The sequence below is a fragment of the Homo sapiens genome, chromosome 5, assembly GCF_000001405.40.
Source record: "Homo sapiens chromosome 5, GRCh38.p14 Primary Assembly".
Taxonomy (NCBI): domain Eukaryota; kingdom Metazoa; phylum Chordata; class Mammalia; order Primates; family Hominidae; genus Homo; species Homo sapiens.
Window position 1 is genome coordinate 119481719 of NC_000005.10, and position 15810 is coordinate 119497528.

Below are 15810 nucleotides of genomic sequence, written 5' to 3' on the forward strand. Positions count from 1 at the left end.
TGATAGACTTGCCTGATGTAGAGTTGCCACAAACCTTCAATTTGTGAAAAACGCAATATTTGCATAGCATGATAAAGTGGAATATAATAAAATGAGATATGCCTGTATTTCACATCACTTTCCTCTTGGTTACATGGTTTCAGAAAGGAAGTGTGACATAATTCTTATCCTTATTCCTCTATAGGTAAGGCATTTTTTTTCCCCCTCTGTCTTCTTCCAAGATTTTCTCCTTATCTTTGGTTTTCTGCAGTTTGCGTATGATGTATTTAGGTGGAGATTTTTGATATTTATGCTGCCTGGTGTCCTCTGAGATTCCTGTGGTTTGGTGTCTGTCATTAATTTTAGAACATTCTCAGCCATCACTCCTTCAAATACTTCTGCTTATTCTCTTTTTCTTCTTCTCGGGTTCTCATTGTATGCATGTTACATCTTCTGTAATTGTCCCACAGTTCTTAGATATTCTGTTCCATTTTTCTCATTCTTTTTTTGCGTTTCCGTGCAGGAAGTTTGTATTGACATATCTTCAAGGTCACTGATTTTTTCTTCATTTCTTTTACGATGGTTTTGATTTCTAGCATTTTCTTTTAATTTTTTTTAGAGTTTTATCTCTCTGCTTAAAGTAACCATCTGTTCTTGTGTATTATCCACTTTTTCCATTAGAGCCCTAAGCACAGTAATCATAGTTATTTTAAATTCCTTGTCTGGTACTCTCCAAATCTCTGCCATATATGAATCTGGTTCTAATGTTTGTCTCTTTAGCCTGTGCTTTTTCTTGCCTTTTAACATGGGTTGCAATTTTTTTGTTGAAAGTAAAAAATAATACTATTGAGTAATAATAGCAAGTGAGATTAATAGGCTTTTAGTGTGAGGTTTTATGTTTATCTCGTTAGGAGTTAGGCCGTGTTTATTATTTACTATAGCTATGGGTATCACAGGCTTCTGTTTCCTCTCTGTTCTTGTTTTTTTATACTCTGTTGTCTTTGAGTTTCCTTAGAAACTCTTTGTTAAGTAGAGTTTGTATCTTGCAGCTCTCACTTGTAATTGTTATTATACTGGAGCCCTGTTGATGGAGTGGTAAGGTATTGGGGAGGGGAAGTGTTCTGTACCCTTATTATTAAATCTCCATTTTTTGAGTGGGTCAGAGTCCTGGGTTGGGACCTTCAGAAGACTTTTTTAGCCTTTTTTTTTTTCTTTTTTTCTTTTCCTTCCCTTATTTGAGATGGGAAAGCTAGAGAAGTTCCAACTGTCTAATCACTCTTCCCCTAGGTCAGACAAGGCTCTGGTAAAGTAGTTTCTCTTCAGAGCAGGCCTTAAGTAGAACAGAATACTCTGGGCATATTTCAAAATGGTTTCTTCCCCCTTGTCTTGTCCAAAGCATGAGGGGATTTTTCTCTGATCTTCACTGTGTGATGGGAAATTCTGGAGGTAAAACTTATAAAAGTGTTGGAGTCTCCTCCTAAGATTGGGCCCTCCTAAGATGAAACAAGTCCACATTCAGCCTCTAGCAATTTGTCGGTTACTGTTTAAGTGTTCTAACTGCTTGGGCTCTGGGGGCTTCTATCTCAGTAAGCTGGGTTTTCTGAATTTGCCTGTGTCTCCAGTTTTCCTGATGGTGGTTTGCCCTGTGACCTGAATTCTCTGGTGCTGATAAGCAGAGTTGTTGATTTTTAGCTTGTTAAGCTTTTATCTTGGTTTGAGGATGGAAGTAACAACTTCCAAGCTCTTTTTATGTTGGAGTGCAAACTGGAAGTCTAATTATTATTATCTTTTCCCATATCATGAACATTTTCCCATTTAATAAAATAGTGCAGGGTATCTTTTAATGGTTGCATTGTATTTTACCTTATTCATGTTCCATAATTTTAAAAAATGCTTTTTATGGTCATAGTTTCTTTGTGTAAAAGGAAAGACTTTTTTGTGTAGCTTTCCAATATACATAAGAGTAAAGAAAGTTAAGAACTGTTTGTACCCATCGTTCAGCTTCAGCAAATGGTCAACAGCCAATTTTGTTTCATTTTTTGATCACCTTCTCCCTTTTCTTCTGCATTATTTCAAAGTAAATCCTAGACATTATATTTTATCTAATGAACACTTGGAAATGAATATCTAACAGATATGGACATTGTAACCATAATGCCATTATCACAACCAAACAAAATAACTTGCTAATATTACCTACCAAATTCATATTAAAATTTTCTAGTTGTCTAGAAAGAGATATTTTTCGAGTTGGTTTATTCCACTAAGGATCCAAACAAGGTCCACAGACATTTTTGTTGTTATAGCTCTTAAGTTTCCTTTAAAACATAATAGTTCATCTTCTCTTTTTTTAAAAAAAGTCAAGCTGGACAGGGTGGTTTGTGCCTGTGGTCACAGCTACTTGGAAGGCTGAGGTGAAAGGATTGCTTGAGCCCAGCAATTCGAGGCTACAGTGAGCTACGGTTGCACCTCTGCACTCCAGCCTGGGTAATGGACTGAGACCCTCCCTTAAAAAGAAAAAAAGCTGTTCGTTTATTCAAGAATCTAATTCTTTTGTTCTATAGACTATTCCTCATTCTTGATTTGGGTTGCCTTTTCACCTTTGTGGAAAATCAATCGACTGCTTACACCTGGGTCTATTTCTGGCTTCTCTGTTCTATTCCATTGATCTGTGTGCCTGTCCTTTCAGCAATATTATGATGTTTTGATTACTCTAGTTTTATATTAAGTCTTGGAATGAGATAGTGTGAGTCTTTCCACTTTCTTTAAACATTTGAATGGATAATTGAGAGCCTACCTTTATTTACTTATGCAATATATATATAATAGTTGACTATGGAGAACTGTGGCTTTTGGTACTCTTGGTTTTTATATATTTCTGAAAAGAAAATCTACATAATACTTTAAAAGTAGCTTCTGTGAAAAGGTACAAAATAATTGATGAAATTATTTTAAAATAAGCTACTCCATGGAACACAAATACTTATGGTACCATATATTTTCCACATTTGAACTAACATTCATTTTAGAACTTGGGATTTGTAATACTACAGCAGTACTTTGCAGTCTTTGCCAAGAGCTGTGTCTAACCAATTTTCTTTAGTGTAGAATACCTATTTGGACCTGAGATCTAATTTTTTCCCCTGTTTCCTTGACAGCAGAGCCATTTTTAAAGCCTCTTATTCTTTAAAAACTCTTTATGTTCTCATAGTCGTGTCAAAGGAATTCTTGTTGAAGAATCATATTATGTGAAAGATATATAATTTATTTGTTTCAAGTATGATACTATATAGACACAAAACAGTATAGGTTATAGATAAGAAATAAAGCATGAAAATGTAATGAATATTCATGAACTCACTTCTCAACCCAAGAATTGGAACATTGCCAATAACTTGCATCTAACTTTGTACCTTCTTTCTACCCCCCTGCTTCATACCAAGAGACAAACCACTAGTTAGAATTTGTGCTGATCATCCCTTTGTTAGATTTTTACCTTTAGTCACTTTTTGCCATCGGTTCTAGACTTTTTGGGAAGCCGTACGTTTTCAAGAAAGTACTTAAAACTTCAGATTTTAAATTTGTTTTTCTTTGGGAATATGGTATCATTTATTTGAACAGATCTGGACCACTAAAGGCATTAGGTAAATGTTTAATCCTTTATGCCTACCATGCTCTAGTAAAAGAAGTTTAGAAAATAAAGTCTACTTTAGACAAATGACTTAATCTTTCTGGATCTGTTTTCTCTTCCACAAAGTAAGAAAGTTATAGATCATTTTTAAATTTCCTTTAATTTTGGGACTATTATTTCTAGTCCTAAAATTCCATTATTTTTATTCTGCTTTTTTCTTACTCTTTTATAGTTTAGAATATCTGAAAATTTATTTTGATCTGAAGCTTTTCTTCTCCTCCTCTAAAATATTTCCTTATGGGCAATTAAAGGAATTATTTGTTAAAGAACCAGATATTATGAGTAATGTGTGGAGACATTTTTGCTATTTCATTTCCCCTTTGAAATACACTTGATACGTGAAAAATAATGTGTATAACTTACATGTTTCTTACATGAAATAAAATAAAACCCTATAATGAGTATCCAGGAACTAACTTTCCAAGCTGTATTAGTTATTTACTGCTCTGCAGTAAACTACTCTAAAACTTAGTGGATTAAAACAGCAAACATTTATTATCTCACTCAATTTCTGGGGTCAGGAATTTAGCCTGGCTAGGAGGTTCTGCTTCTAGGTCTTTAATGATGTTTTAATTAAGATGTTTGCTGGCACTGAAGTCATTTGAAAGCTTGGCTTGGAGGATTTACTTCCAAGCTCATTTGTGCACATGGCAGTTGCCAAGAGGCCTCCGTTCCTTCCTACCTGTTGTCAGGAGGCCTCAGTTTCTCACCATGTGGCTTTTCCATAGGACTGCTCTTGACATGGCAGCTGGCTTTCCCCAGAGCTAACGATTTGAAAGAGAGGGTCACCAAGACAGAAGCTGCAGTGTCTTTTATAACTTACTTCAGAAGAGATGTACCATCACGTTTGTCCTATCCTGTTGATCACACAGACTAGCCTTGGTACACTGTGAAAAAGGACTACAAAAAGGGATAAATTAAAGGACATGGGGGTCATTGGAGGTCATCTTGATGACTTGCTGTCATGCAGCCCCCAAACTGGAGCATTTCCATAACTTGTGTCTATTTTTGTTACCTTTTTACCTCACCCCATTTCTTCCCCCAGGAGGTAATCACTTAAAGAGAATATTCATTCCCTTACCTTTAATTTTTTTTAATAAAAATTGCATGAATAAACACTTTATTGTTTGGTTTTCTTGTTTTTGATCTTTATGACATTTGTCATTTAAAAAAATTTGGGGGAATTGTACTTTGTCTTTCCATGCAATTTTAGGGCTCTAAGATTTATATAAAGCTGTAGCTCATTCGATTATATTGCTGCAAGACTGTTATGTGAATTTACTTAATTATTATTAATGAACATATCGGTTGCTTTTTAATTAATCTGCTTTTATTCTTGTACATGTGTTCTGGATTACAAGAACAAGAATTTTTCTAGGATATGTACTTCAAAGTAAAATTGTTGAGTCAGGAAGGGTACAAATGCTAATCAATAGTTAACTTTTCTTTATAATATATTTTAAATTCCAACATTTCTATTCCATTGTAGTTCAAATCTGCTGTTTCTTTTAACTTTTACTCATAGTGGCTTCCCTTCATTGTGTGCTTGGTGATTTCTAATTACCAGCTCTTTACCTGATCTTTTTCTGTATTTGTTCTGTGTTCTAAATTGGCAATGTTTTCTTCAGAGAGGATCTGTCTTTGCTACTGCTGATTACCAGGAAGCATAGCCAATTTTGTTCTGCTTCAGTCTTCCTTAAAAGTTGAAGTTCAGCGTAGAACAGTTTAGGTTTAGGACCCCATCTTGATGCTGGCCTATCTCTGAGTACCTAGGTATCAGTATTGTTATTTGTATCATTCTCAGGGCAACCCTGCCTTCCCTGTAGCATGTAGCACTAGGGACTCTTTTCTATTTTTTTTTTTTTTTTTTCTGGTTGGAGGATACCTTCTTTATCTCAGTAATGCTTTAAAAGAATCTCATTTCTGGAAGCAGAAGTATTCCTCAGAGTACTTGGCTCACTGTAATGCTAGATATCCTGACATCTAGTATTGTGGAAGAAACACTGGGTTGAGTAAGTAAACCTTTCTATTTTTGATTTCATATAACTTTATATCTTAATAGCTATGGGACTTCTCTGATCTTTTATTTACTCTCTTAAGGTTGGTTTTTTATTTATAACATTGAGTTTAATAGATGCTGGCTAACCTAGGAGTTTGAGAATGAACTGGAAAGCAAGAATATTTGCTTATATTATTAGTGATAATATATAAAATAAACTGCAAGGCAGACGTATTTTTTTGTATGTGGCTTATGTTCTTTTCTTTTTTCTCACGTAAGGTAATAGATACTCTGTTGCATTTTATAGATATGTTTATTTCTCATTCAGTTTGAAGTTAGCCAACTCAAATATCCAAATCCCTGTACATAAATATCCTTTAACATTTAGTTTTGTCAATTGATGTATGGGAAATTAGAGGAATGTTATGTATTGAGATGAATGGATATTTAAGTTAATAATTTGTTTTAATGTACAATTTGAGATGGTTGGAGTCTTCCTTTTGTTTTTTCCTCGTGCATATAATGAAAAATGGAAGACAGGGTGCCATTGGAATGCTTGTGTACTTTTGAGAGCTTTTAGAGGCTATAAAGTGAAGAGTTTTTGCAACTACTTTTTAATTTACAGGACTATATACACCATCTTTTTTACTTTAACACATTAATACAAAATTGTATTTTGTCATTTCACAATTTTTGCATTTATTTGATCTTTTAGATAAAATTGTATGATTTGTAAGACACAAATTGTATCTCATTTGAGCCTTGGAACAACTTGGTGGAATAGGAAGCAGAAGCATTTAAATTACTAGCTTACTGATGAAGATACAGGCCCAGGGAAGTTGAATGATGGGCTCAGGTTCCTAAGTTGCTTGCATAGCAGGTTCAGTACCAAAATCAAAGTCTTCATGTTCTTCATGTAGTACCTTTCTGCTTCACCAAGGTACTCACAGAAAAGGTGCAGTGGTAAAGAGAAGTTGGCTAAGGGCTACGAAAGTAAGCTTAGATAGAAGGAATAAATTCTAGTATTTGATAGTACAATAGAGAAATTATAGATAACTATAATTTATTGTGTATTTCAAAATAGCTAGAAGAGAAGATTTATAATGTTCTCAACACAAAGACAAGATAAATGTTTGAGTTGATGGATATACCAGTTACCCTGATTTGGTCGTTACACATTGTATAAGGTATCAAAATATCACATGCACCTTCAAAATATGTACAACTATTATATATTAATTTTTAAAAAGTTCAAAAGGTAACATATGCAGTGGGAAATTAGTTCTTATACTTTGTGCACTCACCAGTGATGTCTTCAAGGTCTATTTCAATCATTATCTGCCTACCCTGGTGGTCTAGTGGTTAGGATTCAGCACTCTCAATCATTATTTGCCACTGTAATGGTCTAGGCTGTTTTGTGATTTTCTAGATTGTTGTTAATAGCTGGGAGAGTAGAATAATTTTGGGAATGAATGGTACCCAGATTTCTCATGTTAAATACAGTTTTGCTCACCAATCTTTGTCTAGGCAGTTCTAACTTTTCTTCTTCTGAACAGTATTAATATGTTACTCATCTTGGAAAGGTGTGTCTGATACTTACAATTTTAGAAGCTTGAGAGCCCTTTAGAAATGGCTCAGTTGAGATTACAAAAAGTTCTTCGCAAAGACTTAAATGTTAGACTAGTTATATACATACTAATTTTGTTCCTATTTTAAAGGTCTCTGAATTACCTATAATTTTATAAGTAAGAAATTCTTAGAAAGTAAAATGATTGATAAGATATGTGTATATTCTTTATTTCAGATCTTGTGGAAGCCCTGAAGCCAGAGTATGTGGCACCTCTTGTCCTTTGGCTTTGTCACGAGAGTTGTGAGGAGAATGGTGGCTTGTTTGAGGTATTTGCACCTTCCTGTTTTCTCTTATTAGTTTTCTCCAGTTGCTTACATTTGTAAAAATCTGTACCAGTGGACATCACTTGTATATTTTTAAATATTGTGTCTATGTTATAATTAAAAGTGTTGACTAATATCCATTTTTTGGAAAGTAATAGTAACTTTATAAATTCTGTTTTTACTTAGTTCTACATTTGTAACATTCCTACCAAATGAAAATGTGGCTGGTTTGATCTGTTCGGTCAAAATGTGGGGAATTTCATTATTTAAGAAGCTGAATGATAAGGTGGAAAGATGAAGCTTGGAGTTTAGAGTCAACCAGGCCAGATTTTGAATTCTTATTCTGGGAATTGCAGATTTGACCTTCGTGAGCTTTAGTTTTCTGGGGCTTTCTTGTGACAACTACAAGTCATATTTTAAACCCTTGGCATAAGGCCTAATACATAGCACTCAACCACCAATTTTAATTATCAGTATAGCAGGAATTTAATCTTGTGTGATAGGTCAATAAATATAACATTATTTATTTTTACATAAAAAATGAACTTTTCTGTTTTTTTTATTGCAGAGCTTTAAATGTTTATTATAAAAATAATTATCCACACATAATCCCATCATGCAGTGAGATCCATTGTTCACTCTTTGATGAAAGTTCTTTTAGACCTTTTAAAGCCAATTTATATATTTTTGATTACTCATTTGAGTTTGATCTCTTTTTTCTAGCCTAAACTGTTGTATATTAGACCCCCCCCCATTTTAAATTATCTGTGGTAATAATGAACCTGTTGTATACAGAACCTGTTGTAAACCTGGCTCAATTTAAAGTGAGGGATATATTAGCTTATTTCATTTGAATGAAAAGCTGATGGGTAAGTTAAGACAAAAAAAACAGTTTGCATATCTCTGAGCAGATATATGCACCTCCACTTTCCTAATCACAGCCATTGGGTGTGAATTGTGGCATAGTAGAGGTAGAAAGAACTTTACAACTCTGTTTTATAGAAGAGGAAAATTTAATAATCTCAAGCCATCTGTAATTCAGAATTTTGCCTGCTCTACTTTTACCTCATTAAGGAATTTTTAAAAACTATTTATCTTTTACAGTTATGTTTATTACTAACTTTGTGAACAAAAATAATATGTGCTGTTTGTGAAAATTTCGAATATATAAGACCATATAAAAAATAAAATAAAAATTGCCTACATTATCACTATCCAGAGAGAACTAGTATGAATATTTTTATGTTTTTCCTTCCAGTCTTTTATTAGATATGTGTTTTATTTTTTATTTTTATTTTTTTTGAGGCAGAGTCTTTCTCTGTTGCCCAGGCTGAAGTGCAGTGGCGTGATCTTGGTTCATTCACTGCAACCTCCGCCTCCCGGACTCAAGTGATTCTCCTGCCTTAGCCTCCTGAGTATCTGGGATTACAGGCACCCACCACCAAACCCAGCTAATTTTTGTATTTTTAGTAGAGATGGGTTTCACCATGTTGGTCAGGCTGGTCTGGAACTCCTGACCTCAAATAATCTGCCCGCCTTGGCCTCCCAAAGTCCTGGGATTATAGGCGTGAGCTACCGCACCTGGCCTAGATAGGCGTTTTATACACCCAAACACACAGACAATTAGGATAATGCTGCAGATGAAGTTTTGTTATGTTGCTGTTTTCTTTTACTATATTGTGAACATTTTTAGTGAGGAACATTTAGCATGCATGATTGATAAACTATACTAAGAGCTGTGCATAATATCCTGACTTAAACCTTGAAAGTAAATTGCCACTTTTTGAAGTTCTGATAGATATCTAGAGTGGCAGATACAAATATTTTTTGGCTCAGCTGGAGCAATTGTTTTTAGCACCTGAGAGGAACTTGTAGCTTATTACTTCGCTTCCAAAATACAGTAAAAAGTGGTAGTTATTTTGCCTGTTATCAAAACCACTGCTGATTTGTCTAGTGTAACTTTATCAAGGCTGACTGGTTGTATCATAAAAGGTGTAGGCATATTAATATAGAGGCAAAGGATGATGAAAAGCCACACCCTTGAACTTAGAGCCACTAAGATGTCTGCTGATACATTTCTTCTATCATATGCATATGAAATTTTTGTGGTAAGTTTGGGTACACTGTAGTTGTGGTGTTTGAAGTGACAAACAGATTTTCTTTACATCAGACTCATCAGACTTTTTTTTTTTTTTTTTTAGGATTTTTCTTGAATGACCTCTAGAAAAAATTATAGCAGTGAAAATTTATCTTTCTGGGTAGCAGTTATTATTTGGTCATTTGTCTTATCTCTGCATAAAGATGTTTCATTAAAATGAGTATATGTAGTTCACTAAGTCAAATACTCATTTTATTTGGCTTTGGTTTTCTTTGTAATTCAGTAGGTCCTTCAAGAGGGACATTTATTTGGATCTCATGATATGCTAGGCAGTGTACTATTTATATTGTTTGCTTCATGGTAACCACATGAAATATGTACTGTCATTTTTATTTTACATTTGAGGAAACTTGGATCACATAATTTGGCCAGGGTAGTCAGTAGACAAATTTGTATCAAGCCTTGGTCTCTGACATCAGATTCATTCTTTTCTATTACATGCATTTCTACTTCATTGTACTGTTTTACGTTTGTGCTCCGATAACATGAGCAGTGCAAAGTCATGGGGGCCAGTGGACTCTTACAGAGCTGTATTATTTTCATCTCCTGTTGCCTTGAATTCTAATACTGCTAGTAGAGGAGCTGACTTTTTTCTAATTAAAACAATTGTATTAGTGATTTCACATTAGATGGTATAATGTTTTCCCCCTCTTTTTGGTAGGTTGGAGCAGGATGGATTGGAAAATGTAAGTCTCTCTCAGTTTTTGGTTTGTATAGATTATTTCCTTATCTTTAAACCTACATATCCAGTTGAGATGGGTAAGATTTTTGTCAAATGCCTAACCATTGGATATAGTGCTTGCATATTCAAACTTAAACATTGCTATAGCAACAGGTATTTTTAAACATTGTGATTGTCCTATAGGTCTGTGGCCCTTTCAAGACCCTATCTATTCTTCCTGTAGGTAGTCCTTATTCAGGACTTGTCCTGTTTTATTCAGAACTGGCTATTCCTTCAGACAGCATATATTGATAATCATCCTCCCATGTCTTTGACTTCCCACATGCTCGTTCTTGCTGTTTCAGCAGAGAAGTGAGTGGGAGGGAGAGCTGTTTTGGAAAAAGATGGGTTGAGCCTATTCTAGAGCAGCAGGCAAGTTCTCCAATTTTCCCATGTAATTATTTTCTTCCATGAAGCAGGAGACGTCAAGGGGAGTGAGGAATCACATTGGACAACTTACTGGGACAGAAATTGCAGCTGATCTATGGGAATTATTCCGCTTTAGCCCAATAGTTATTTTAGATAGTAAAATTATTTTAAATAGTTATTTTAAATAACTATTTAAATTAAATATTTTAAATAGTTAAATAGTAAATTTACTTGGCTTCAACCCTCTCCTACCCCATCTCTCAAACCTTGTGAACTCCAAATTTGAGAATTGCTTTATGGCATTAAAAAAATTGTGAAAATTTCTGTGTCTCAGCTTATATTTAGTTGGCTATGGGTATCAAAATTAATCCAATTAACTGAATCAGTTAAAAGGTTGCTATCTCTGGAGGGCATTGCTGTAGTAGTATAATATTTTTAGAATTAATGGTCATTTTCTCTAATTGTTAAAGTGGCTTATATTCTTGAAGCATTTTTGAGTGTCTTATTGCATTCATTTAAAAAAGGAACATAAGGTTTTGCAGTAAAAGCTATATCTGGCACTTTATCAATAGGAAAGCTCTAGACACAGGCATTTCTGTCATTCCCAAAGACAAATCTTCAGTTTAACAATCATCAGTGTCTGACTATTATGTTTAAATAAGGTTATTAGTAGTTGTTTATACCTCTGGTTTTTAAAAAGAAAACAATGTTAAAAATTCTCCTTATGCAGCAGTAATGGTTTTTATGAATCTGTGCATTCTAACTGACTTCTTGTGGAAATAGAGGTAGAGCAAAGAGAAGGTAAGGGAGAATTATTTGGGGCCACCTGTTACACTAAATTTTTGTTAACTGAAGTCTTTGACCTATTATTTACTATTAGTCTTCAGTTTGCTAACTCAGCGAAGCTCTATTCAGTTATCTTCATTTTATAAACAAGAAGAATGAAGTATATTACTTTGGGGATCTGTGGTCATGAAGTCAGTCTTTTGATGTGATTATTATATAATTAAACTTTTTCACATACAGCATAACATTCTACCTTTAGTACTGTCTGGCATAGTCAGAGGAGAAATTTTTCCCTTCAGCTTCAAATGTTTCTTTAAATTGACCTTATCCTAGTGGGTTTGTTGGGAAAAATTCATTTTAAGGCTTATGGTAAAACTCTTTAGGAGTTAGAATCCCTTTTTTTCTGAATTTCCTTTCTCTTTAAAAATGAAAGGGTTCTTATGCATCTTACTTTCTGTCTCTCAACTATGTGCTCAGTATGTTAGTTTTGTTTCTATAACCAGTACGCTGGGAGCGGACTCTTGGAGCTATTGTAAGACAAAAGAATCACCCAATGACTCCTGAGGCAGTCAAGGCTAACTGGAAGAAGATCTGTGACTTTGAGAATGCCAGCAAGCCTCAGAGTATCCAAGGTAAAGAGAGTCCCCGTCACTTAGCCCTGGTTGGGGAATCAGAGGCAGCAAGCATTTTCTTCTCTTATGTAGTTGTCTTCTATGTTAACTGTAGTGTTAAGACACTTGAATCGTCTATAGCATATTTTCTGCTCTAGTAGGTATTAGAATTCTTCACATTTAAGATATTTATGTTATTCTCACTGTCAGTTTTTCAGCTTTATTATAATCCTGTTTTTTGGGTTTATGTGTGATTGGGGGATGGATGGCATAAGATGTTTACTCATTTGTGCTGAATGCACTTACATCCTCACTGATGGTTGGTTTCAAAGTCTTCCATTACCTACCTATATGCTCCCAATCTTACCATATTTTTCTCTTTCTTCCTTTCTTTCTTTCTTTTCTTTCTTTCTTTCTTTCTTTCTTTCTTTCTTTCTTTCTTTCTTTCTTTCTTTCTTTCTTTCTCAAAAAGATTATTTAAGCCTTTTTATTATTTAGGCTTAGCTCTTTTCTGTTTAGTGCATAAATGTGGCTTTGTTTTAGCACTTTGTCTTTGCTACTGTTTCTTTGCTTTTCTAACATAGTTCTTCTACCTTTGATCTCCTCTGCTAATCTTAATGCTTCTTTAGAAAAACTCAAGCCCCAGATGTTCAACAAAACCGCCCAGATATTCTAGGGTATATTGATCTTTCTGTTAGCTGAGCTCCTACCACTTGAGCATCTAATTTTAACTGTTCTCCACTTCTTTTGTTTCATGAATGTATGGTTTCTTAATTGCCTGGTAAGTTCCTTTGAGGCAGAGACTGTATCTTGTTTGTACTTCTTGTATATATTTGGTGTTAGCATAGTGCTGAACTCATAGAAGGGACTTAATAATTGCTTATTAACTTGAATTATTTAATCTCCTGTTACATACCACAGAAATAGATAACCAAATAAAAGTCAGATTATTTTTTTCTAGTATAACTCACATATACATGTAATATATGAAATTTGAAGTATTTTTCTGAAAAGATCATGAGTCAGGGTCATTTTGTAGAAAAACTTTTTTTTCTCATAGTAATGTAATATTTAAAGTTTGATAGAAGAATATATTTGAAAAATGACTATTCGGTTTTTTTTTTCTCCTTAATGATACTTTCCTACCTACTGGAATACTCACTGAAATTTTCATTATGCTTATTCTCAATCAGATGATAACATGATTGTTATGTCATAAATGGTTAACATTTTTGTATTTTATATTTAGACATTTGAGAAATTTATTCTATGAATAACAGTCACTTATCCATGAAAACAAATGAAAGAAAAGTATAGGAAAAACTTTCCTCTGATATTTATCTCAAAAAGTATTTCTGCCTCAAAAGTGTTAAACTTATTAAAAAGCTATCTAATTGAATTATTATAACTAATTGTAAGTGAAAAGATACCTCTATTTGAAGCACAATTTTTAAAAAATGATCTTTTCGATAAGAATTGACTTTCCAGAGCATCTCTTCTACTGTTTTTATTTTACAGATGATGGAACTAAATCCCAGGAAAACCTAAACTAGCCAGTGTTTGAGCCAAGAAGTAATTCATGTTGTCTATTTCTGGAAGGAGGTGGCTTTCAACTAAATAGTCTTCCCTCTAGATAGCAATATGAATGGGATGGTAGGGAGAAGATTAATAGGCAAGAAACCTCTCTACTGGTGTCATCAGGAATGGCAGATATCTCTGGTCTTCTCAGACTCTGTAATTTGGTTATTTATTTATTTATTTTTAAGACAGAGTCTTGTTCTGTCTCCCAGGCTGGAGTATGGTGGCATGATCTCAGCTCACTACAACCTCTGCCCCTTGGGTTCAAGCGATTCTCCCACCTCAGCCTCCCAAGTAGCTGGGATTACAGGTGTGTGCCCCCACGCCTGGCTAATTTTTGTATTTTTACAAAAATTAAAAATTTTTGGTTATGGTTTTGTCTGAGTTCAGAAGGAAGCCCATGTCTCTAAGGTTTGTGAGAAAGGTCCCAGGGCCTTCAGAATATCTTATGGAGATGTGGATGCCCCATGAGCCTCCTTTATTAACCTTTTAGACCTGCAGAAAAGCAGCTTTTGATCCCTGTCTGGAGTCATTGGTTATGATGATGATTTTCTCTGGAAGAATTTTTGGTACTATCTTCAGAGCTATTACTTGTACAAAGAACTGGGAGTAGGGGTGAGGAGGTAATCTTGGCATTCTTTCATCCTGGGAAGAATGGAAATCAGTTGAGAGGAGGAATCAGTGATCTCTCCATCAGACAAATTGCATGTCTATAGACAAGTATTTCACTTTAAAGGTTGTAAAATAGCTTAAAGACATTGGAAAGCCCAGTGCCGCCTTAGAATCAGATAACCAGGGAAGGATATGCTAGACAATGTCTTGTATTTCATTGAAGATGTCCATTTATTTTTGGCCTATTTCAGTCTTTCGCAATTTTTTCCTTCAATAGCCTGACATACATTCAGTTCATGAGTGGCAATGGAGGCTCTGTAGCAGGTTTGCTGAATGTTATAGGAATAATTATGTAGCATATTGTAGCTTTTCTTAGTCACATCTTTAACAAAGCTTTATTTTTTTTGTTTTTCATTTTTCATTTTAGAATCAACTGGCAGTATAATTGAAGTTCTGAGTAAAATAGATTCAGAAGGAGGAGTTTCAGCAAATCATACTAGTCGTGCAACGTCTACAGCAACATCAGGATTTGTAAGTGGGAAAAAAGCCTAAAGCGTTTGCCTTCTCTGGAGACTTTCCCTCCCTTCTTCCCTCCCTGCTTTCTTCCTCCCCTACTTCTTTCTCTTTTCTTTTGGATGCAGTTACTTTCTTTCAGTCTCTAATAATGGAGAGAAGCAGTGGCAGAGATAATTTAAAATAGAGGATTTATTCAGGAATCGTTTATGATTGACTTTATAACATACAGCCTGATTTCAACATACAGAGTATTCAGGACAGTTGAGCCACATGAAGAGATGGCTCAGGATGAATTCTAACACTGTCCAGAGTACTTTATTTGTCTTTTTAGTTTCTCCTTTTCCCTCTCTTAGATTTCTCTGGACTGTACCCTGCATTTCTTTTCCCTAATGGGAAAGGAGATCAGAGCGATTGGGTATCAGTTTCCAAGGTTTTGCCTAGTAGCCGAGTGGGGCTTGGAGAATGGAGGTAACCCACTCAGCTTCTTCTCCTGGTTGGAAACAGAGCTGCTGAAAGCTTATCATGAACTTTTTAGAGGGATACTCCTTACTTGCATATAATTTTTGGTAGGCTCCATTGGGGGGTGTGATGAATCAGGTTAGCTGCCTGAGTGGTGCTTTAGCCAACCTCATTTTTACCCCCTGCAATGCTGTTTGGAAATTGACTCAGGGAGGTACTGAATGGAAGAGGAAAAAAGGGAGTAGTACCTCAACTGTTGATAAAATGAACTGTGGCTAAACTGATATCTAGTCCAGATATGTATGCCTGCCTGGACTGTCTGTCTTCCATATACAGTTCTCATTCTACCCGTTCATAGTTCTTTATCTCTTTAAGGATAGCTTTAAATTGACTTTAAGTAGATTTGAGTTGTGTGGGAATTTGTATTTGGGAGGGGAG

At 34.7% G+C, this 15810-nt stretch overlaps 1 protein-coding gene across 14 annotated transcripts in view; it reads left to right on the top strand.

The window, feature by feature from the left end:
* HSD17B4 (hydroxysteroid 17-beta dehydrogenase 4) overlaps positions 1-15810 on the top strand; it is an 89836-nt gene that overhangs the window by 29222 nt on the left and 44804 nt on the right. For 12 of the 14 annotated variants that reach the window (NM_001374503.1, NM_001199291.3, NM_001374499.1 and 9 more), the window contains 4 exons: positions 7474-7565; positions 10382-10406; positions 12100-12228; positions 14825-14928. In NM_001374503.1, coding sequence (NP_001361432.1) covers positions 7474-7565; positions 10382-10406; positions 12100-12228; positions 14825-14928 — 350 coding nt within the window. Of the gene's footprint in view, positions 1-7473; positions 7566-10381; positions 10407-12081; positions 12229-13997; positions 14096-14824; positions 14929-15810 lie in introns of all 14 variants that reach the window. The other 2 variants (NR_164654.1, NR_164653.1) reach the window with 2 other exon arrangements.